At 51.6% G+C, this 22,269-nt stretch overlaps 1 protein-coding gene across 1 annotated transcript in view, besides 5 other annotated features; it reads right to left on the bottom strand.

Moving 5' to 3' along the window:
- Positions 5,407-6,294: an enhancer, noted in NCBI's record as "H3K4me1 hESC enhancer chr14:102530418-102531305 (GRCh37/hg19 assembly coordinates)". NCBI's record gives its function as "activates a minimal SCP1, AML or CMV promoter by ChIP-STARR-seq in primed H9 embryonic stem cells {active_cell/tissue: H9 hESC(primed)}" and the evidence as "EXISTENCE:reporter gene assay evidence [ECO:0000049][PMID:30033119]".
- Positions 12,630-13,333: an enhancer, noted in NCBI's record as "H3K27ac-H3K4me1 hESC enhancer chr14:102523379-102524082 (GRCh37/hg19 assembly coordinates)". NCBI's record gives its function as "activates a minimal SCP1, AML or CMV promoter by ChIP-STARR-seq in naive and primed H9 embryonic stem cells {active_cell/tissue: H9 hESC(naive and primed)}" and the evidence as "EXISTENCE:reporter gene assay evidence [ECO:0000049][PMID:30033119]".
- Positions 13,334-14,039: an enhancer, noted in NCBI's record as "H3K27ac-H3K4me1 hESC enhancer chr14:102522673-102523378 (GRCh37/hg19 assembly coordinates)". NCBI's record gives its function as "activates a minimal SCP1, AML or CMV promoter by ChIP-STARR-seq in primed H9 embryonic stem cells {active_cell/tissue: H9 hESC(primed)}" and the evidence as "EXISTENCE:reporter gene assay evidence [ECO:0000049][PMID:30033119]".
- DYNC1H1 (dynein cytoplasmic 1 heavy chain 1) overlaps positions 13,932-22,269 on the bottom strand; it is a 91,871-nt gene continuing 83,533 nt past the window's right edge. The window contains exons 74-78 of the mRNA NM_001376.5: positions 21,706-21,859; positions 20,793-20,935; positions 20,493-20,661; positions 20,177-20,304; positions 13,932-19,940 (exon numbers count right to left, since the gene is read on the bottom strand). Of these exons, the coding sequence (NP_001367.2) occupies positions 19,812-19,940; positions 20,177-20,304; positions 20,493-20,661; positions 20,793-20,935; positions 21,706-21,859 (723 nt within the window). The 3' untranslated portion in view covers positions 13,932-19,811. The remainder of the gene's footprint in view (positions 19,941-20,176; positions 20,305-20,492; positions 20,662-20,792; positions 20,936-21,705; positions 21,860-22,269) is intronic.
- Positions 19,449-19,743: a silencer, noted in NCBI's record as "tiled region #9666; K562 Repressive non-DNase unmatched - State 15:Elon". NCBI's record gives its function as "represses a minimal TATA promoter and a strong SV40 promoter by Sharpr-MPRA in K562 cells {active_cell/tissue: K562}" and the evidence as "EXISTENCE:reporter gene assay evidence [ECO:0000049][PMID:27701403]".
- Positions 19,931-20,915: an enhancer, noted in NCBI's record as "H3K4me1 hESC enhancer chr14:102515797-102516781 (GRCh37/hg19 assembly coordinates)". NCBI's record gives its function as "activates a minimal SCP1, AML or CMV promoter by ChIP-STARR-seq in naive H9 embryonic stem cells {active_cell/tissue: H9 hESC(naive)}" and the evidence as "EXISTENCE:reporter gene assay evidence [ECO:0000049][PMID:30033119]".

Here is a 22,269-nt window from a genome sequence, read left to right as displayed (position 1 = left end):
TTGGCCAGGATGGTCTCCGTCTCTTGACCTCATGATCCGCCTGCCTTGGCCTCCCAAAGTGCTGGGATTACAGGCGTGAGCTACCGCTCCTGGCCAAACACTTTCCCTTTTAATAAAACCAGTTGGTACCATTTCTAAGCAGTTCCTGAATCCTGTGGTTTCTGCTGTCTCAGTCTCCTTCCTTAGCCTGGAAGGGCAACACACGTAAGAGAAGATGCCCAACCGCACTGCAAGTCATGAAAGGGAAAGTGAGTGTAAGAAGATGCATTTTACACCCATCAGGAATGGCAGAAATTAAAGGAGGACAGTACCAAATGTTGGCTATGGTCTGAAAATGGGGTCTCTCATGTGACCTGATGGGGGTACAGATCAATACAGTTAATCTGGAGGGCAATTTGGCACATCTGATGGAGTGGGAGAACTCACCCTGAGTACTTCCTGGTACGTGCTAGAGAAAGTCTTTCCACTTGCACCGGGAGAAAGGTACAAGAATGTTCTCCACAACCCTGTAGCAGGGGAATTTGAAAATATCTACATGTCTCAAAACAGGAGACTATCTTGGTAATTTGAGTTAATAGGAAATAAGGGGATAAAGGGACGTGCTAAATGACACTCTGAGGAAGCAGGCGGACAAATCCAGATGTGTGGGATATTTGGCTTGGTGTCTTCCACAAATAAGTGCCATTTAAACAACTCTTGTTGCCGGGCATGGTGGCTCATGCCTGTAATCCTAGCATTTTGGGAGGCCAAGGCAGGCGAATCACTTGAGGTTGGGAGTCGAGACCAACCTGGCCGACCTGGTGAAACCCTGTCTCTACTAAAAATACAAAATTAGCTGGGTGTGGTGGCGGGTGCCTGTAATCCCAGCTACTTGGGAGGCTGAGGCAGGAAAATCGCTTGAACCTGGGAGATGGAGGTTGCAGTGAGCAGAGATCGTGCCACTGCACTCCAGCCTGGGCAGCAGAGCAACACTCTGTCTCAAAAAAAAAAAGTACACAAAAGCAGACAGAATAGTATGAAACCTTAGTGACCATCACCATCCCCAACAACCAGCCAACTGGCCATGGCCATTCCCACCCATCCACACTCAATGCACCCTTCTTTCTTTCTCCAAGTCATTCTGAGGCAATTCTGAGATTTCATTGTACCATTTCACCCATAAGTATTTTCCCTACTACATCTCTGCACTCAGACATATTCAAGGCACTTGGTACTATAATTAAATGTACGATTAAGTGAGTGAACAAGGACAAGTCAAGATGTTCATTTTTGTCATTTCTAGTTAACACTGTACTGGAGGTTCTAACCAGGGGCAATTAGTCATGAAAAAGAAAAGACATCCTGATATCCTGATTGGACAGGAAAATGTAAAAAGTATCTGCATTTGTAAATGACATGATCTTGTATATAAAAACTCCTAAGGATTACAAACACACAAATCTATAGAACTAATGAGTTCAGCAAGATTTTAGGATACAAGATTGGCCGAGCATGATGGCTCATACCTGTAATCCCAGCACTTTGGGAGGCCAAGGTGGGAGGATCACTTGAGCCTAGGAGTTCAAGAGCAACCTGGGTAACATAGTGAGACCCCTGTCTCTACTAAAAAAAAAAAAAAATACAAGATTAATATATAAATATCAATTGTATTTTTATACATTAACAATGAGTGATCTGAAAATAAAGAAACATTTTTATTTGCAATAGCACCAAAAAGAATAAAAGATTTAAAAATAAAATTAGGTCAGGCTTGGTTGCTCATGCCTGTAATTCCAGCACTTTGGGAGGCCAAGGTGGGAGGATTGCTTGAACTTAGGAGGTCAAGGCTGCAGTGAGCTAGGATTACTCACTGTCCAGCCTGGGTGACACAGTGGGTCTCAAAGAAAAAGTAATAATAATAATAATAAATAAATAAAATTAACAAAAGGAATGCAAGACTTTTTATACTGTGTATTGAAAACTACAAAACATTGTTGAAATTAAAGACAAACTAAAATGGAAAGACATACCATGTTCATGGATCGGAAGGCTTAATGTTGTGGAGATAAGCAATACCACCCAAACTGATCCACAGATGCAACCCAATCCCTATTAACAATTTCCCAGCACTTTGGGAGGCCAAGGTGGGCGGATCACGAGGTCAGGAGATTGAGACCATCCTGGCTAACACACTGAAACCCCGTCTCTACTAAAAATACAAAAAATTAGCCGGGTGTGGTGGCGGGCGCCTGTAGTCCCAGCTACTCGGGAGGCTGAGGCAGGAGAATGGCGTGAACCCGGGAGGCAGAGCTTGCAGTGAGCCGAGATCACGCCACTGCACTCCAGCCTGGGTGACAGAGCAAGACTCCATCTCAAAAAAAAAAAAAAAAAAAAAAAAAAAAAAAGCTGGCATTTTTGTGCAGAAACTGACAAGCTGGTTATAAAGTTTATATGAAAATGAAGCAGGCATGGTGGCTCACGCCTGTAATCACAGCACTTTGGGAGGTCAAGGCAGGTGGATCATGAGGTCAGGAGTTTGAGACCAGCCTGGCCAAGATGGTGAAACCCTGTCTCTACTAAAAAATACGAAAATTAGATGGGTGCAGTGGCGGGCACCTGTAATCCCAGCTACTCAGGAGGCTGAGGCAGGGGAATTGCTTAAACCTGGGAGGTGCAGGTTGCAGTGAGCCGAGATCGCACCACTGCACTCTAGCCTGGGTGACAGAGTAAAACTCTGTCTCAAAAAAAAAAAAAAAAAAGGAAAAGAAAATGTTAAGGAACCCAGAAAAGCCAATCTTGAAAAAGGACAAAGTAGTAAGACTCACACTTCCTGACTTCAAACATTACTAAGAAAAAAAAAGTGAGGCCAGGCCTGGTGGCTCACACCTGTAATCCTAGCACTTTGAGAGGCTGAGGCAGGCAGATCCCGAGGTCAGGAGTTCGAGACCAGCCTGGCCAACATAGTGAAACCTTGTCTCTACTAAAAATAAAAAAAAATAGCTGGGGGTGGTGGCGGGCTCCTGTAATCCCAGCTACTCAGGGGGCTGAGGCAGGAGAATCACTTGAACCTGGGAGGCGGAGCTTGCAGTGAGCCAAGATTGCACCACTGCACTCCAGCCCGGGCGACAGTGCAAGACTCTGTCTCAAAAAACAACAACAACAAAAAAAAAATATAAGAAAAAAGAAAAAAAACTGAGCAGCTAACATGACTTGTGGCAGATTCAGTTCACTGATTCCTTTTATTATTCGTTCAAAAATTTTTTTGAAGGTTACTGTGCCAGACACTGCACTAGGTGCTTAAGGAGCTGAGGGTTCAGAATTTCTAGGCTCAGAGGGTGACAGTATAGTAACATCATAGAATTCAACCGACACAGCAGAGCACAGTAGCTCATGCCTGTAATCCTAGCACTTTGGGAGGCCAAGGCAGGTGGCTCATTTGAGCTCAGGAGTTTGAGACCACCCTGGGCAAATGGTGAAACCCCGTCTCTACTAAAATACAGAAAATTAGCCAGGTGTGGTGGCGCACGCATGTAGTAGTCTCAGCTACTTGGGAGGCTGAGGGAGGAGAGAATTGCTTGAACCTGGGAGGTGGAGGTTGCAGTGAGCCGAGATAGCGCCATTGCACTCCAGCCTGGGCGACAGAGTGAGACTCTGTCTCAAAAAAAAAAAAAGAAAGAAAGAAAGAAATCAACAGATACTTTCTACACAGGCTGGTCTGGCCTACTGTGGTAGTGCAGAGGGGTTGGCTGGATCCTAACAAAGACTTGAGAGGTCAAGGAACGCTCCCTGGAGGAGGTGTCAAACCCAAAGGTTAAGTCAGGGCCAGGGATGAGGGTGAAGGGAGCATTTTTGGCAAAAGAAAGAGCTGTGGGTGGCTGGAAGGAAAGGTGGCTTGGTGCCTCCCAGGAATGAGAGGAGGTGGGAGTCGCTGCAGCCTTGGGGTGAAAGGTTCTCAGATAGGGACTGAAAAGGGGGTTGCTGGGTGGCCGGGGCAGCGTGGGCCCTTGTGGCCATGTTAAAGGATTTGGATGTCATCCTAGGGCATAGGGGAATTCCCCAAAGTTTTGTGGCATAATCACGACCTCACAGAGGCCTCTCTGGCAGTGAGTGGAGCCCAGAGTGGGCCCAGGGCGGACAGGAGGAATCTGAGGAGCCTTACTGGGGCCTGGGCTATGGGCAGGGCTGGCAGGGAACAGGCAGGGGGATGGAGGAGCAGCGGGGCCTGCGGGGGAGGTCCTGGGCGGGCTGGCGGGGCCCTTCCGTGCTGGGTTGCCGTGGAGACAGCAACATCATACAGGCTGGACCGCAGGACCCCCGCCACCCTTAACTCCTGGGTGATCACTCTGGGAACAAAATGGACATCCCATCCAAGAGGTAAGTGCAGAGTGGCAGCCCTGTGCCCTCTGATGGCCCTGGAGGCTCAGCCTCAAAGACTTTATATAAATGTCACCCCCAGGGCCAAATTGATCTTGAGCCCAGATTCACAATGGCCCCAGCTTGAGTAACAACACGCTCTGCTCATAGTCGGAGATCATGGACCAATTATTTGCTACACCGGGCTGAATTTGGGGCTGCTTTTCTGGGAACAGAGGAAGCTCTGGCCTAGCCCGGGTCTCGGTGCAGATGGTGCAGACGTGCTAGGTGCGAGTGTGCCCAGGTGCCCCCAGCCAGGTGTGCGGGCCGCTGGAGGGGCTGTCACCATCAAGAAGAGGCCCCCAGTGCCAAGAGAGGCCCGAAGCAGTCTGGCCCACCCGGGGAAGTGAGGACTCCTCCTCACACATAGAGGATGGGGGTGTCCCCCCTCCATGGGAGCGAGGATATGACTCCTTCAAGAGTGTGGCAGGTGCCAGTGGCTCACCCTGTAATCCCAGCACTTTGGGAGGCTGAGGCTGGAGGATTGGTTGAGCCCAGGAGTTCAAGACCAGCCTGGGCAACATAGCAAGACCCTGTTTCTACAAAAAATAAAACATTAGGCTGGGCATGGTGGCTCATGCCTGTAATCCCAGCACTTTGGGAGGCCAAAGCGGGCAGATCACCTGAGGTCAGGGGTTTGAGACCAGTCTGCAACATGGTGAAACCCCATCTCTACTAAAAATACAAAAATTAGCTGTGCGTGTGTTGTACCTGAGTGAGTTAGAGAAAACGACACACTTTGAGACGAATTAAGAGTCCGATTATTTAGCCGGCAGCCAAGAGACAGCTAATGCTCAAAGTTCTCTCGGCCCCAAAGAAGGGGCTAGATTTTCTTTTATACTTTGGTTTAGAAAGGGGAGGGGGGGTCTAGTTAAAACAATTTTACAGAAGTAAAGTAGACAAAAAAGTTAAAAGGATAAATGGTTACAGGAAAGTAAACAGTTCCAGGTGCAGGGGCTTTAAGACTATTACAAGGTGATAGACGCGGGGCTTTGGGCGTTATCAATTGGATGAATTCCTGGGAACTGTGGATATTGATCACCACACTATCTTATCAGTTAGTTGCATCCTTGGATGTGCTGGGAGTCAGCTTGCACAAGTTAAGTCCTTGAGGAAGGGGCTGCCAGTGAAAGAGCCAAGATGGAGTCTGTCTGGCTCTCTTAGCTGAGAGTCAATTCAGGTGGAAACAAGGCTAGGTGATTAAAGGAAAGGGAGAGTCTAAGAACAGGGTTAGTAAAAACAGGGTTGGGCATTACACGTGGTGGCAGGTGCCTGTAATCCCAGCTACTCGGGAGGCTGAGGTGAGATAATCACTTGAACCCAGGAGGGGGAGGTTGCGGTGAGTCGAGATCGCGCCACTACACGCCATGCCTGGGCAACAAGAGCAAAACTCCATCTCAAAAAAAAAAAAATTAGCCGGGCGAGGTGGCATGCACCCGTAATCCCAGCTACTTGGGAGGCTGAGGCAGGAGAATCGTTTGAATCTGGGAGGCAGAGGTTGCAGTGAGCCGAGATAATACCACTGCACTTTAGCCTGGGCAATGGAGTGAGACTGTCTCAAAAAAGAAAAAAAAAAAAGAAAGAAAAAGAAAGAAGTGTGTGTTCATCCTGGGAAAACGGGCCTCTACGGCCCTCTAGGGCTTCCTGCTTTCCCTGGTGCCTGATCCAGAGAAGGTGCTCAGATACTGAACGCCTAAACCAGATCACCGTTGCAGGTGGGTGGAGGAGTAAAGATGCAGCGCCCTGGAAACCGAGAGCATTTCAGTATTGCCCGGGAATGAAGGGGTCTGAGTCTCAGCTCACGCTAAGGCTCTTAGGAACCACGCTGGGGAGAAGGAGCTTGAGAAATCTTTCACAACACATTTCAAGGAAAGGATATCTGGTTTTGAACTAAAACTATTGGTGAATTGTTAAATATTGTTAAGTGGGAACTTCTGAACCACGTTTTTCCTTTGAGGCAGAAATGCGGCATTGAGTTAAGCCCTGGTCTGAACCTGAGGGCAGCCTGGAGGTCAAGGCAGAGGTCATCTGTTCTGAATCCTGACGCACCCACCATGCCTGGAGTGGGGGCCTGGAAGATTTTCTCTTTGCTCTTTGACGGTGTGGAGGGTGGGGACAGGTCTGGAGAGTACATTTGCTAACCCCTCTTTGTGGAGAGACCATTCTGCGTCTGCTGGGACCCCAGTCTCCCCCGCTCGTCTCTCCGGAGCTTGCTCCCCAGACTACCTTCTGGACCCCAGGTAGGAGCTCTTGGAGGCGTTTCTGGCCTCGCAGCCGCCCGGCCCTACCGGCCGCCGCTCCCCCAGGCGTGGCTGCAGGGGCGGGGTGACAGGGCTGGTGGCTCCAGGAATCCGGTCAGTCCATTCTTGGGGAGGGAGGCCACCAGCGTGCCTGAGGCTTTGGGCTGTCTGGGGAAAGCCCTGGCCTGTCATCTTTGTCCTCTTACTGCCTGGTTGACAAGCATTTAATTATTATTATTATTATTAATGTTTTGCTATTATCCAGCATTTTACTAATGCATCAGACAATTGCATTTACAAACTAAAATGTTAAAGGCGTTCATGAGGAAACCTGTACTGATCCTTTGCCATCTGGCAGTGGTATGTGCAATTAGCAAAAGACTCCAGAAGATGTCTGGTGACAAATGCACCCTCTGGTGTTCCATTTGTGTTTTGCTGTTGGGTTTTTCATACTACTTAATCGTCACAGCTTATGAAGTTGGGAGCCGGCGGCGTGGACGCGGGGGCGGGGCCAAAACGGCCAGGGGTGGGGCCCACACTAACAAGGGGCGGAACCGAGGGCTGGTCAGAGTTGCTTTGCTACTCCCTAACGTTTCCATTCTATTTTCTTTTCTTTCTTTCTTTATTTATTTTTATTTTTATTTTATTTTTTTGAGAAGGAGTTTAGCTCTGTCGCCCAGGCTGGAGTGCAGTGGCGCGATATCAGCTCACCGCAACCTCCGCCTCCCAGGTTCCAGCGATTCTCCTGCCTCAGCCTCCCGAGTAGCTGGAATCACAGGCATGCGCCACCACGACCGGCTAATTTGTTTTTTTTTTTTTTTTATTTTTAGTGGAGACGAGGTTTCACCATGTTGGCTAGGCTGGTCTCAAACTCCTGACCTCAGATGATCTGCCCGCCTCAGCCTCCCAAAGTGCTGGAATTATAGGTGTGAGCCACCAACTCAGCTTAATGTTTCCATTTTAAAATGTCAGTTTTGCCGGGGCGGTGGTGCCTACCTGTAGTCCCAGCTACTTAGGAGGCTGAGGTGAGCAGATCCCTTGAGCCCAGGGTTTCAAGGCCAACCTGGGCAATATAGTGAGATGCCTCCATCTCTTTTAAATAAAAAAAAAAAAGGCCAGCACAATGGCTTACGCCTGTAATCGCAGCACTTTGGGAGGCTGAGGTGGGCGGATCATCTGAGGTCAGGAGTTCGAGACCAGCCTGGCCCACATGGTGAAACCCCATCTCTACTAAAAATACAAAAATTAGCTGGCATGGTGGCGGACACCTGTAATCTCAGCTACTTGGGAGGCTGAGGCAGAAGACTTGCTGGAACCCAGGTGGCAGAGGTTGCAGTGAGCTGAGATTGGGCCACTGCACTCCAGCCTGGGCTACACAGCGTGACTCCAGCCTGGGCTACAGAGCGTGACTCCATCTCAAAAACAAACAAAAAAACAAACTGCATTCTAAAACTAAGCTATGAAGTTGAAGGATGATACCTTTGGAAAAATGAGACCATAGTTGCATTCAAACTACCCCCCACCTCTTTTATCTGTTTTCCCTACAAGTTGGAGTATTTCTACGTTTTGGAAATGTCACTCTGAAATGACTGAAGTTGTGGCAACCCAAATTGAATACTAGATGATTTTTTGTCTAGCCTGGTCTTTTGCCTATCGTGGGTCCTTAAATGTTTGACTAAAGATGCCTCTAGTCCGGACTGATGCCTCTCCCCTTCTTCACTGAGTACTGGCATCGTGAGTGGCACTTGCTCTTCCTAACTTCAAGTGGAAGGAACAACATGTCTCTTAGATAATGTCTTTTTTTTTCTTTATTCGCTGTTGTCGTCCAGACTGGTGTGCAATGGCATGATCTCGGCTCACCGCAACCTCCACCTCCTGGGTTCAAGTGATTTTCCTGCCTCAGCCTCCTGAGTAGCTGGGATTACAGGCGCATGCCACCACGCCCGGCTAATTTTGTATTTTTAGTAAAGATGGGGTTTTACCATGTTGGTCAGGCTGGTCTTTTTTTTTTTTTTCCTGAGACGTAGTCTCGCTGTCTCCCAGGCTGGAGTGCAGTGTCGCGATCTCGGCTCACTGCAAGCTCCGCCTCTCGGGTTCACGCCATTCTCCTGCCTCAGCCTCCTGAGCAGCTGGGACTACAGGCACCTACCACCACGCCCGGCTAATTTTTTGTATTTTTAGTAGAGATGGGGTTTCACCGTGTTAGCCAGGATGGTCTCGATCTCCTGACCTCGTGATCCACCTGCCTCGGCCCCCCAAAGTGCTGGAATGGTCAGGCTGGTCTTGAACCCCCGACCTCAGGTGACCCACCCGCCTCGGCCTCCCAAAGTGCTGGGATTACAGGTGTGAGCCACCGCACCCAGTCTAAATAACGCCATTTTTCTCACAGCACCCACTTCGTTCTTTTTTTTTTTTTCCGAGAGAAGTCTCGCTCATGTCCCCCAGGCTTGAGTGTAATGGCTTGACCTTGGCTCCCTGCAACCTCCGCCTCCCGAGTTCAAACGATTCTCCTGCCTCCAAGGAGCTGGGATTAAGGCGCCTGACACCACGCCCGGCTGATTTTTGTATTTTTAGTAGAGACAGGGTTTCATGATGTTGGCCAGGCTGGTTTCGAACTCCTGACGTCACATGATCCACCCACCTCGGCCTCCCAAAGTGCTGGGATTACAGGCATGAGCCACCGCGCCCGGCCCCCAGTTTGTTCTTAGACCTCACAGACTGTAGGGGTTTCCTATAGCTGCCAACAAATTACCACAAACTGGTGGCTTCAAACAACAGAAAATGACTTTTTTTTTTTTTTTTTGAGGTGGGGGGTCTCACTATATTGCCCAGGTTGGTCTCAAACTCTGGGTTTAAGGGATTCTTCTGCCTCAGCCTGCCGAGTAGCTGGGATTACAGGTACACACCACTGCACCCAGAAATCTATTCTTTTTTTTTTTGAGACAAAGTTTTTGCTCTTGTTGCCCAGGCTGGAGCACAATGGCGCCATCTTGGCTCACTGCAACCTCTGCCTCCCGGGTTCAAGCAGGTCTCCTGCCTCAGCCTCCCGAGTAGCTGGGACCACAGGCGACTGCCACCACATCCGGCTAATTTTTGTATATTTAGTAGAGATGGGGTTTCACCATGTGGACCAGGCTGGTCTTGAACTTCTGACCTCAGGTGATCCACCTGCCTCCACCTCCCAAAGTGCTGGGATTACAGGCGTGAGCCACCGCGCCCCGCCAGAAATCTATTCTTTCACAGTCCTGGAAACGGCCCTCTAGGGCTTCCTGCTTTCCCTGGTGGTCTTGGAGGTCAGAATTCTGACAGGGCGCATCAGCAAGGCCGGTTTCCTCTGCAGGCTCGGAAGGAGGGTCCGCTGCAGGCCCCGCTTCCGGCTTCCGGTGGCTCCTGGCAGCCCGGAGCACTCCTCGGCTGGGGGACGACTCCCCCGGTCTCTGCTTCCGCGTGTGTGTGTGTGTGTGAGTGTTTGAAATCTCCTTCTGCCTTTCTCTTATAAGGACACCTGTCATTGGATTTAGGGTCTGTCCTAAATCCAGGATGATCTCATCTTAAGATCCTTAATAATTTCTGCAAAGATTCCATTTCCAGATAAGGTCACATTCACAGGTCCCAGGAGATTCGATGCGGATATGTATTTTGTGGGGGTCACCATTCAACCCACTCCACAGGGCCTCCTGAAAGCATTTTAAACAAGACCCTCCCTTCAAAGAGGAAGACACTGGGCTGGGCACGGTGGCTCAGGCCCTTTAGCCCCAGCACATTGGGAGCGATGTGGGAGGAGTTTGAGACCAGCCTGGGCAACACAGCAAGACCCTGTCTCAAAAAAAAAATATATACATTCGCTTTAAAAAAAAAAAAAATGGCCGGGCGCCGTGGCTCACACCTGTAATTGCAGCACTTTGGGAGGCCGAGGTGGGCAGATCACCTGTGGTCAGGAGTTCGAGACCAGCCTGACCATGCCTGTAATCCCAGCTACTCGGGAGGCTGAGGCAGGAGAATTGCTTGAACCTGGGAGGTGAAGGTCGCAGTGAGCTGAGATCATGCCATTGCACTCCAGCCTGGGCAACAAGAGTGAAACTCCGTCTCAAAAAAAAAAAAAGAAAAAAAGAAATTCTCTTAAAAAAAAAAAAATGGCCAGGGGCCATGGGTCATGCCTGTAATTGCAGCACTTTGGGAGGCCGAGGTGGGCGGATCACCTGAGGTCAGCGGTTCGAGACCAGCCTGATCAACATGGAAAAACCCCATCTACACTAAGAATACAAAATTAGCCGGGCGTGGTGGCCCATGCCTATAATCCCAGCTACTCGGGAGGCTGAGGCAGGAGAATCGCTTGAACCCTGGAGGTGAAGGTTGCAGTGAGCTTATATCGCACCACTGCACTCCAGTATGGGCAACAAGAGAGAAACTCCGCCTCAAAAAAAAAAAAAAAAAAAGACACTGCATGTGGCATGCAGACTTCCACTGTCCTGGGTGACAGGTGATGCTCTTATTTAAAAAATGCACTTTTCCAGTGGCTGGGTGTCCTTTGAGCCTTGTGATTCTCATGGGCAGTGATTTGTGTGGGAGTGGGAAGTTGGATGTTGAAGTGAAATGTTTACCTTGAGGTAGCCAATGAAATGAAATGCCTCTTCACCTGTCACAGTGGGGACTCCTTACCGTTTTGTCCAGATTTACTGATGGGAAAACAGGCTAGGAGAAGCCACTTTAGACGTCTGAAGTCACACAGCTGGGTTCGTGGCAGATCCGTTTTTTGGAGTCATGTCACTGCCCAGTGGGTTCTTCCTGCCGGCTGCACAGACAAAATCAATCCACTTTAGTGCATGGCATTGAACTAAAGAAAGAGTTTAGGAGGCCGAGCGTTGTGGCTTGCGCCTGTAATCCCAGCACTTTGGGAGCTGAGGCGGGCGGATCACCTGAGGTCAGGAGTTCGAGACCAGCATGGCCAACGTGGTGAAATCCCTTCTCTACTAAAAATACAAAAATTAGCTGGGCGTGGTGGCTCACATCTGTAATCCCAGCTACTTGGGAGGTTGAGGCAGGAGAATCGCTTGAACCCTGGAGATGGAGATTGCAGTGAGCCGAGATCACACCACTGCACTCCAGCCTGGGCAACAAGAGCAAGACTCTGTCTCAAAAAAAAAAAAAAAAAAAAGTTAAATTGACATGAGGCTGGCCACGCCACAAAGGAGACGGAGTTATTACTCAAATCAATCTCACCAAAGGCTCGGAGGTTACACGTTTTTCAAAGAAAGTATGGTGGGCGGGGGGCTAGGGTATGGGTGCTGCTGCTTGCTTGGGGATGGAATTGTAGGGGTGTGGAAAGTGGTCCTCATGCACTGAGTCCGCTCCTGGGCAGGGACCACAGGACTGGTTGAGTCATGATCTGGCTGGGGCCATCCTGTTATCAGAAATGCAAAATCCTAAAGACATTTTAAAAGGACAATCTTAGCTTCATTGCAAGAGTGATTGTGAAAGTTGCAATTCTCGTGACCTCTAGAACAATGGCTGGTAATGTTTTAACTAAGCTGACCGTTAGCAGAATTCAGGGCCCTCTTGTCCTCCTAACGTGGTGGTCTTTCATTAGTTTTACAAGTGCAGTTTAGTTTGGGGAAGGGCTATTATCATTCAAACTCCAAACTAAATTTCTCCCAAAGTTAGTTTGAACGACTCCCAGGAATGAGTGAAGAGGCCAGGCTGTGAGGCTAGAAGCAAGATGGGGTCGGCCACATCAGATTTCCCTCGCTGCCATCATTTTGCAAAGGCGGTTTCACCCAGGGAGTCTGGTTCTAGACCCATCAGCTATTCAGCCTCCAGTGGAAGCTTTGTGGCTTCCGGCTCAGGAGTCTTCGTGGATGGTGGGAGGCAGGTTTGCCCTAAGCAGTTCTCAGCTTGACTTTTCCCTTTAGCTTAGTGATTTTGGGGCACTCAAGGAACACTGCAGACAGAGGGGCACGTTTTGTGGGAAAGGCATTTGGTTTGGGTGTTAGGTGTTAGGTGTTAGGTGTTAGGTGTTAGGTGTTAGGTGTTGGGTGTTAGGTGTTAGGTGTTAGGTGTTGGATCTCATCCAGCAAATGCCTACTGAGCACCACTGCCTGCTCAGAGCCAGGGGTTTGGCTTCCGGGACACAGCCGTAGACAAAGCAGCCGAGCCCCAGGTCCTGGAGCACAGGTCATTTTGGGAGGGAGTGACTCTGATCCTAACAGTGATAGAGGAGGAAAATGTGAGCATGTTAGAGTGTAAGGACCAAAGAGAAAAATGCAGCGTGTGTGTACATCTGTGCAGCGTGTGTGCATCTGTGGTGTGTGTGCACGTGTGTGCAACTGCAGCGTGTGTGTGCATGTGTGTGCACGTGTGTGCATCTGCGCAGCGTGTGTGTGCAACTGTGCAGCGTGTGGGTGTGCATGTGTGCACGTGTGTGCATCTGTGCAGCGTGTGTGCATCTGTGTAGTGTGCACGTGTGTGCAACTGTGCAGCATGTGTGCACGTGTGTGCATCTGCGCAGCGTGTGCACGTGTGCAACTATGCAGCTTGTGGCTGTGCATGTGTGTGCACGTGTGTGCATCTGCAGTGTGTGCACGTTTGCAACTGTGCATGTGGGTGTGCGTGTGCACGTGTGTGCAACTGCAGCGTGTGGGTGTGCATGTGTGTGCACGTGTGCATCTGCGCAGCGTGTCTGCACGTGTGTGCAACTGTGCAGCATGTGTGTGCGCGTGTGCACCTGTGCGTGTGTGAGGTGTGTTGAAATACGAGAAGGGGACTCCAGGAAGGCCTCAGGGAAGGGTGACCCTAGAGTAAAGACTGGATGGAAGGACGGGATGGCCAGGTGGAGGGGCGAGAGGGCTGAGCTGCAGCGGGAGTTGGGGGTGCGGTGAGGGCTCAGTCTCTGGTGTGCTACGTGGTGGGGTTTAGCAACATGTGAAAAAAATCTTGGGGTCCCCAAATCACTAAGCTGAAGGGAAAAGTCAAACTGGGAACTGCTTAGGGCAAACCTGCCTCCCATTCTATTCAAAGTCATCCCTCTGCTCACTGAGATAAATGCATATCTGATCGCCTCTTTGGAAAGGCTCATCAGAAACTCAAAAGAATGCAACCATTTGTCTCTTACCTACCTGTGACCTGGAAGCCCCCTCCCCACTCTGAGGCTTTTCCAGACGGAACCAATGTCCATCTTACGTATGTCGACGGATGTCTCATGTCTCCCTAAAATGTATAAAACCAAACTGGGCTCTGAGCACCTTGGGTACGTGTGGTCAGTGTAGCAGGACGAGCCGCAGACAAAACCCCTCAGACACCGAGTTGTAGAAGGAAGGGCTTTATTCAGCTGGGAGCATCGGCAAGTTACCATCTTAAAATCCCAGCTCCCCAAGTGCACAATTTCTGTCCCTTTTAAGGGCTCACAACACTAAAGATTTTACGTGAAAGGGTCGTGATTGATTGAGCAGTCTGGGGGATACGTGACAGGGGTTTCATGCACTGGTAGTCAGAGTGAAACAGAACAGAGCAGGGAGTCTCACGATGTTCTTCCATACAATGCCTGAAATCTATGGGTAACATCGGGTTCTAAGTCATGAGCTGATTTTTAACGACTAGGTTTAGGCCAGGCAGGCCCAGGCCTGGTTTTGGGCCTGGCGCCGGGCTGCCTGTCTTTGATTTCACTTCGTTTTTTTCTTAAAACAGGTACTGAGTATAAAACAATATGAGAGGGTCTCTCTCCCCCCAGTCAGGACCTCCTGAGGCTGTGTCATGGGTGCGCGTCCTCAACCTTGACAAATATCTTTTCTAAATTAACTGAGACCTGTCTCAGATTTTCGGAGTTCACAAGCATTGCTCTGGTCTGAGAGTGGATGCTGGGCTGGGGGCCAGGGCAGAGATTGAGATGGAATAGCGGGGCCCAGGGCCAGGCGGGGAAGTGGGGAGATGTGGCTGAATTCTGGACATGTTTTGAGGTTAGAGTCAGAGTTTGCTAATCAGCTGCCTGCGGGGTTTGGAAGGAGGAGGAGCCAGGGCCTTGGGAAACATTTCAGCCTGAGCAACCAGATACCTGGAGGTGCCGCGGAGGAGGGACAACCTCAGGGTTTTACCTTGGACAGGTGGAATCGGAAGAACCCATTAGAGACTTCAGCGGGGGGCTGGGCAGAGCGGGAAACCAGGGCGGTGCGTGGAGCCTTGGCCAGGTCGAGGGGGGTGCTGAACAGATGTCCGGAGGGCAGTGGGGACATGGGGGTGGAGCTTAATTGGAGGTGGAGGTTTGGTGGCTGTTGGCAAAGAGGTGGTGACTCCAACAGGAGAGCATGGGGTCATGTTCTCCCAGCTTCAGAGACTGTCAAGGACCGGCCGATCCTGTCTCATCGCCCCACCCGTGCCTCGCGTGTCTCCCTCAAAGAGGAGGCCTTTGTAGACACAGCCACGCGCTCTCGGTCTCGGTGTTCCCAGCCTGGTCGGCTCTGTTGGGTGGGGCGCTGATGCAGGAGGAGCAGAGTGATGGTCATAAAGTGCATGCTGGATCTGTCACTTAGGTGACTTGTCACCTGAGTCCAGAAGATAGCTGGGATTCTGAGGTCAGAAAGCTGACTTCCAGGGGTGGAAGAGAGAGGGTGGAAGTGAAGAGGAGGGGGCTTCTCCTCCAGGGTCCTCCCGAAGGCCCACTTTGACCTGGGCTAGGAAAGAAAAGTCCAGAAGGAGTGGCCAGGAGGCACTGTAGATGTTTGTGTGTAACAAGGCGACTTCAGTAATAATAAGGTTGGGCCGGGTGGGGTGGCTCAGGCCCATAATCCTAGCACTTTGGGAGACCAAGGTGGGTGGATCACTTGAGCCCAGGAGACCAGCCTGGGCAACATGGCAAAACCCTGTCTCTACAAAAAAATACAAGAGGGCCAGGAGTGGTGGCTCATGCCTGTAATCCCAGCACTTTGGGAGGCCAAGGTGGGCAGATCACCTGAGGTCAGGAGTTCGAGACCAGCCTGGGCAACATGGCAAAACCCTGTCTCTACTAAAAATAGAAAAATTAGCCGGGCATGGTGGTGGGTGCCTGTAGTCCCAGCTGCTTGGGAGGCTGAGGTAGGAGAATCATTTGAACTTGGGAGGCGGAGGTTGCAGTCAGCCAAGATCACACCATTGCACTCCAGCCTGGGCGACAGAGCAAGACTCCGTCTCAAAAAAAAAAAAAAAAAAAAAAGTTCTGCAAAGGCTCTGTTGGTGATGGTGTTGTAACTGGTGTTTGGGTGGCCCTGGCGGTTGGGGGTGGGCTGTGCCACCTGCCACTGCTTCTCAGGTGCATTGCTTTGAGAACAGGCAATGGGCACCTTTGAAAACAAGGTTCGGACTTAAACGCCCATTTCAGCTTCTTGCCAACCACCTTGGCGGCCTTCGGTGTGAAGGTGGAGGCTCCCCAGAACGCCCTTCAGGCCCTGGATGTGGCAGAGGGAAGACTCGGGGGTGGGTCTGGCCTCAGCTTCGCTTGCCCCTCACCAGGAAAATGCTGCCTTGCCCTTTGGAAGAGCTGTTGAGAGGAAAAGACGGAGCTCTGCCCTGCCAACGGAGGGCAGGGCGGTTTGAGCCAAGCCTCCCAGGTCTGTGCCCAGCACTGCGTTGAGGGCTTTCTGGGAACAAGGCTCAGGCTGAGTCCCCAGTGGTGGCGGGCTCTCAGGCTGTTTTTGGGTGATATGAATATTGATCTAACACATTTTTAAAAATTCATTTGCAGCTGGGCACAATGGCTCATGCCTGTAATCCCAGCACTTTGGGAGGTTGAGGTGGGTGGATTGCTTGAGCCCTGGAGTTCAAGGCCATCCTGGGCAACATGGCGAAACTCCATCTCTACAAAAAATACAAAAATTAGCCGGGCGTGGTGGTGTGCACCTGTAGTCTGGGGAGGCTGAGGTGGGAGGATCACTTAAGCCCAGGAGGTCTAGGCTGCAGTGAGATGAGGTTGCATCACTGCACTCCAGCCTCAGTGACAGAGCCAGACTGTCTCAAAAAAAAAAAAAAACAAACAAAGAGGCCGAGTGTGGTGGCTCACGCCTGTAATCTCAGCACTTTGGGAGGCGGGTGGATCACGAGGTCAGGAGAGCGAGACCATCCTGGCTAACACAGTGAAACCCTGTCTCTACTAAAAATCCAAAAAATTAGCCGGGCTTGGTGGTGGGCGCCTGTAGTCCCAGCTACTTGGGAGGCTGAGGCAGGAGAATGGCGTGAACCTGGGAGGCGGAGCTTGCAGTGAGCCGAGATCGCGCCACTGCACTCCAGCCTGGACAACAGTGCGAGACTCAGTTTTTTAAAAAAAACAAAAACAAACAAAAAACAAATAAAAATTCGGCCAGGCGTGGTGGCTCACACCTGTAATCCCAGCACCTTGGGAGGCTGAGGCGGGTGGATCACCTGAGTCAGGAGTTCAAGACCAGCCTGACCAATATGGTGAAACCCCGTCTCTACTAAAAATACAAAAATTAGCGGGCGCCTGTAGTCCCAGCTACTCAGGAGGCTGAGGCAGGAGAATCGCTTGAATCCGGGAGGTGGAGGTTGCAGTGAGCCCAGATTGCGCCACTGCACTCCAGCTTGGGCGACAGAGCAAGATTCCGTCTCAAAAAAAAAAAAAAAAAGAAAGAAAAATTCATTTGCAAGGCAGAGCCTGCAAAAACCAGCATCAGTGACGGGAGGAAGAGTCAGCGCATGCGAGCATGTTAGACTTGATTCCGCCTCGCAGAACTGCTCTTGGACTGAGAAACACTTTTGTCCTCAGCTTTTAGATCTTTATGATGGCGATTCGGAAGACACCCCCAGTCATTCCAACTGGAGCTGCAACGACTGTTCTCTGGGTGACATGAGCTGTAAGGTGGCTTCCTACACACTGAAGTCAGAGTCCAGAGGAAGTTCATATAGTAGACGCCCTGTCACAAAAAACCCACATTCTTGTCATAGAAGTGGCCAGCTGGGCCCGTGTCCCTGGAAGCCAAAGATGAGGGCACGTAGCCCGAGGACTCGAGGATGGCGGAGGAGGACCAGACCCCCAGGGCCGCCGAGCCCTTCCTCACTCCCATGGAGCCCCCTGAGACTGGCAGACACGTGCCAAGCAGAGCTCGAGGGGCATGGCCACCACCTAGGTTTGGGAGAGAGAAAAGGGGCCCAGAATCTCCTTCTCCAAGAGGAAGCTGGAGCTCTTCCTTGCAGAGCCTGAGAAAAGGAAGAGGAAGAAGCAGTAGGTGGCCTAATCCAAGGTGAGCAGACTCAGTCCAGGAAGGGGTCCCAGCCCAAGAGGAGCAGGGGCTCTTCTGATCAAAGCTGATGTCGATGCACATAAATGTTTTTAGGGGCTGGGTGTGGTGGCTCACACTTGTAATCCCAGCATTTTGGGAGGCCAAGGTGGGAGGACCACTTGAGCTCAGGAGTTCGAGACCAGCCCGAGCAACATGGTGAAACCTTGTCTCTACAAAAGATACAAAAATTAGCCGACATGGTGGTGTGTGTCTGTGGTCCCAGCTGCTCAGAAGGCTGAGGTGGGAGGATCACTTGAGCCCGGGAGGTTGAGGCTGCAGTGAGCCATGGTCACGCCACTGCACTCCAGCCTGGGCAACCGAGTGAGACCCTGTCTCTAAAAAGAAAAACATGTGTTTAGGGGCTCAACTCGGTGACTCACACCTAGAACCCCGGCACTTTGAGAGGCTGAGATAGGAGGAGCCCTTAATGCCAGGAGTTTGAGACCAGCCCAGGGAAAATAGCGAGATTCCATCTCTACAAAAAATACAAAAATTTGGCCAGGTGCAGTGGCTCATGCCTGTCATCTCAGCACTTTGGGAGGCTGAGGCAGGAGGATCACTGGCTGAGGCCAGGAGTTTGAGACCAGCCTGGCCAACACGGTGAAGCCCTGTCTCTACTAAAAATATAGTAATTAGCTGGGCATGGTGGTGCATGCCTGTAATCCCAGCTATTCAGGAGGCCGAGGCAGGAGGATCACTTGAACCCGGTAGGTGGAGGTTGCAGTGAGCTGAGATCACGCCACTGCACTCCAGCCTGGGCAACAAGAGCGAAACTCCATCTCAAAAATAAAATAAAGACACTGAGATGCCAGAAGCCTGTTTCCACGGGTGTAGCACACCCATCACCTCTAGCAATGTGAACGTGAGATGCAAACAGTCAGCTGTATGGGCCACTGTCATCATCACCACTGGAAAGGTCGTGTGGGAATGGACTTGCTAGGGCGGCGATGGGCAACTCCCTCATCTACAGCACAAAACTCCCTTGTCTGGAGGAGCCAAGTCCTGGGGCCCTGGTCAAGAACACAAGCGGCTGGGGGCTGCCTTTTTTTTTTTCAGCTCACTGCAACCTCCGCCTCCCAGGTTCAAGCAATTCTCCTGCCTCAGCCTCCCGAGTAGCTGGGATTACAGGCATGTGCCACCATGCCCGGCTAATTTGGTGATCCGCCCGCCTCGGCCTCCCAAAGTGCTGGGATTACAGGCATGAGCCACCACGCCCAGCTTTTTTTTTTTTTGAGACAGGGTCTTGCTCTGTCACCCAGGCTGGAGTGCAGTGGTGAGATCACAGCTCACTGCAGCCTCGACCTCTTGGGCTTGGGTGATCCTCCCACCTCAGCCCTCAAGTAGCTGGGACTACAGGCATGCACCACCACACCTGATTTAATTTCCTGTAGAGACGGGGTCTCACTATGTTGCCGAGGCTGGTCTTTAACTCCCAGACTCCCAAAGTGCTGCGATTAAAGGTGTGAACCATGGTGCCCGGGCCCCAGGGCCTTCAGAGCCACAGCTGGCTGCATCTGTGTCTGTGAAGGGCCCCAAGGTCTTCATTCATGAGTGCTGTGGCCGCTCGGGAGCGAGCTCATGATGAAAGCGAGGTGGGGAGGGGCATGGCTGCCGTGGGCTGCCCTCCCTGGGCAGCATGGAAGGCAAGGCTCTGTGCCCTGGGATGAAAGCGGAGACAGAAGAGGCGGAGCCGGCTCATGCTTAGTGTTTTATTTCCTCAAAGGAGCCACGCCATTGGCCTTCCCAAATACCTCCTGGTATCCTTCCAATTTCCACCACTCCCAACCGTCAGATTCCATTCAGCTTCCTCCAACCTCAGACCAACCACTTTCTTTTCACAAGCTCAGACCTTCCAAATATTTTAAAAATGAATAAATGTTAAATACCAACTTTCACTATTACAGAAAGGGGCAGCTAGAAAAGTTTACTCTGTGCACAAGACTGCGACACCCCGCTCGTAGAAGCTGCGAGGATCCTCCTTTGTAGCAATTTCGAAGTCCACGGTGAAGATGAGGTCTGCACGGGTGAAGTTCAGGTAGACAGGTAAGGTTACCTGCAGAAGCAGAGGGGTTTACTGGTGGCTTAAGGGAAAAGTAAGAAAACTGGAAGACTGCCCGGGACAGCTGATGGGGCCCGGCAAGGAGAGGTTTGGACAGGTGCGAAATGGATTTCCTCTGTGAACCTCATTTCCCGTTCCAAGTGGAACCCAGGCATAGAAGAGGAGCCGCCTCTGCCCTTGTTACCGCAGGGGTCCCTGCAGAATGCCTGGGAAAGGCAGTGCCTCCTTACCACACTGGCCTTCTTCTCGGTGTTTGTCTGCTTGACCCAGCGCAGCTGCGTCAGGGGAAGGGCGGTTGAGATGGCATTGGACAGTGACAGCTTGTTGTTGTTGCACGTGGCCCCTTGAAGTTTCAAACCTGTGAGGCGGAAGCCAAAACCCAGGCTGAGGTGAACACAACAGCTACACAAACCCCAGTCACAGGGCGCCCAGAGGCTCCACCCAACTGCCAGCCGGTCACCCTAAGTGCATGTATCTGGGAACAATGGTCTCAGGCCACCGAGGTCACCTGCAAAGAGCCAGTATTTTCTGTGAGACTCCACTCACCCGTGACTCCGAAGCTGCAAGCGTCAAGGGTGGCGCCCTGTGAGGTGGTGACGTTGACTTCCAGGCAGAGCTCCTCCAGGGACCAGCTGTTGGCCTGGGCCACATACTGCCTGGTGGCAGTGATGTACGCCTCAGGCACGAACAGGCCACCCAGGCACACGTGGATGTTCTGTGGAAAGCAGCAGCCCCCAGGGGAAGGAGCTCAGGTCAGACCTGGGCCCTGTGTTTTTCCCCAGAGCCACTCCCACCCCAGCCCAGGACAGCTGCTGACCACCCGAGACTCGTCAGGAGCGCCTTCACCTTTAGCTCCTTGGCGCCACCAGATGCAGCTGCCAGTGAGATGTTCTGCAGCTGTTTGATCCTCTCGCTGAAGTCGGACACCCACTGGATGACGGTCATGCCGGCAGGCACCGTGTAGTGGGACCAGCTCCGAGGCAAGATCCCTGCAGCCAAGGCACACAGAGCCCAGGGTGTCAGCTCTCACAACTCCCCCAGCACAGATGGAACAAATGTGCAAGTGCTAGGCATCCTGGCTGCCCACACAGGCGGCTGGCGGCTCCACCTACTGCCTTTCCCAGGCTGCACTTTATGCCCCTGGCGCCGCCCTCACCACATCTGCTCTAGCTCAGGCTGGTCCAGAGCATGTCTCAGAACCGTGCAGTTTCTAGGGTCAAATTAGTCCAGGTGTGTCTTTCTGGAGGACCATAATCACATCCAAGCAAAACCGCGGCTAAAACCTCATGTCACACAAGTGGCTCAGTGTTCCTGGCAATTAGGGCTTTTGGGGCAAACAGGAGGATGCTGGGGGCTCCCCACAACTTTGGATGAGCCCCCCATGCCCGCCTGCCCCTGCTTTTCCACTGTCCTGGGGGACACCCATTCTTCACAGGCCGTAACCTACTACCGTCTGTCACCATCCTGGACCACCACATTCCCCATTCACTGTCGTCTTGGAAGACCCCTAAAAAACTAGAAGTTGTGTAAAGATTTTGGTCAACATTCAGTGAACCAGCACAGAAGAAAAACAAATTCTTCAGCATTTCTAAGCTCCTCCCCTCCCCCCGCCCACCTTGAGGGTAAGAGCACAGAGCTGCTCTCGGAAGCTCCTGCAGGCCTGGCTGTCTGCACGTGGTGCTGTGTGGCTGGGCTGGGTTGTGGCCCCTGGCCAAGGTGCCCGCCGGAAGCCACACCACGAGTTCGGCCTCTCACGCACCTTTCACTAGCTCGTTGATCAGCGTGCGCAAGTAGTTGGTCTGCTTCTTCTTTCCTTCGCACACCTGGACGACATCTGCAAGGTCCTGGCGAACGTCCTGAAGCAGCTTTGCGCCCATCTTCACTTCTCTCTCAAAGAACCTGAACAAAGGATCCTAAAATCGTTCAAAAGGGTGAAGAGAAGTTAGGAAGAGGTCCTTTCTCCAGTGTAAAGGTCAAACAGAAGTAACTCGGCCTCCGGGGAGAGCCCCAGAGCTTCCGAACTGTCCAGGGTCACGGACAGCTTTGGCAGAGCGTGACTTGGAACCGAGCTTGTGTGAAGCTGAGGCTGCTCAGAAACCCGCTGAGGCCCCTGCCCGAGTCGCAGCTCTCGGGGCTCTCTAGGGAGGAAGGGCTGCGGCTGCTCGCTGTGGCGCTGTCTGCCTATCTCACAATCTTCTAGGGTGTTTTCAGTCCATTTCAAAAGGGCCAACTCATCTTGCCCAATGCCTGGGCTCAGCTGGACACCTGCTCTGAGGTGACACCGGTGTGAGTACGTTCCGTCCGGCACAGTGGAACCAATGGT

This window comes from Homo sapiens, chromosome 14 (genome assembly GCF_000001405.40).
Source record: "Homo sapiens chromosome 14, GRCh38.p14 Primary Assembly".
Lineage (NCBI taxonomy): Eukaryota > Metazoa > Chordata > Mammalia > Primates > Hominidae > Homo > Homo sapiens.
This window is presented reverse-complemented; position numbering and strand designations above follow the sequence as displayed.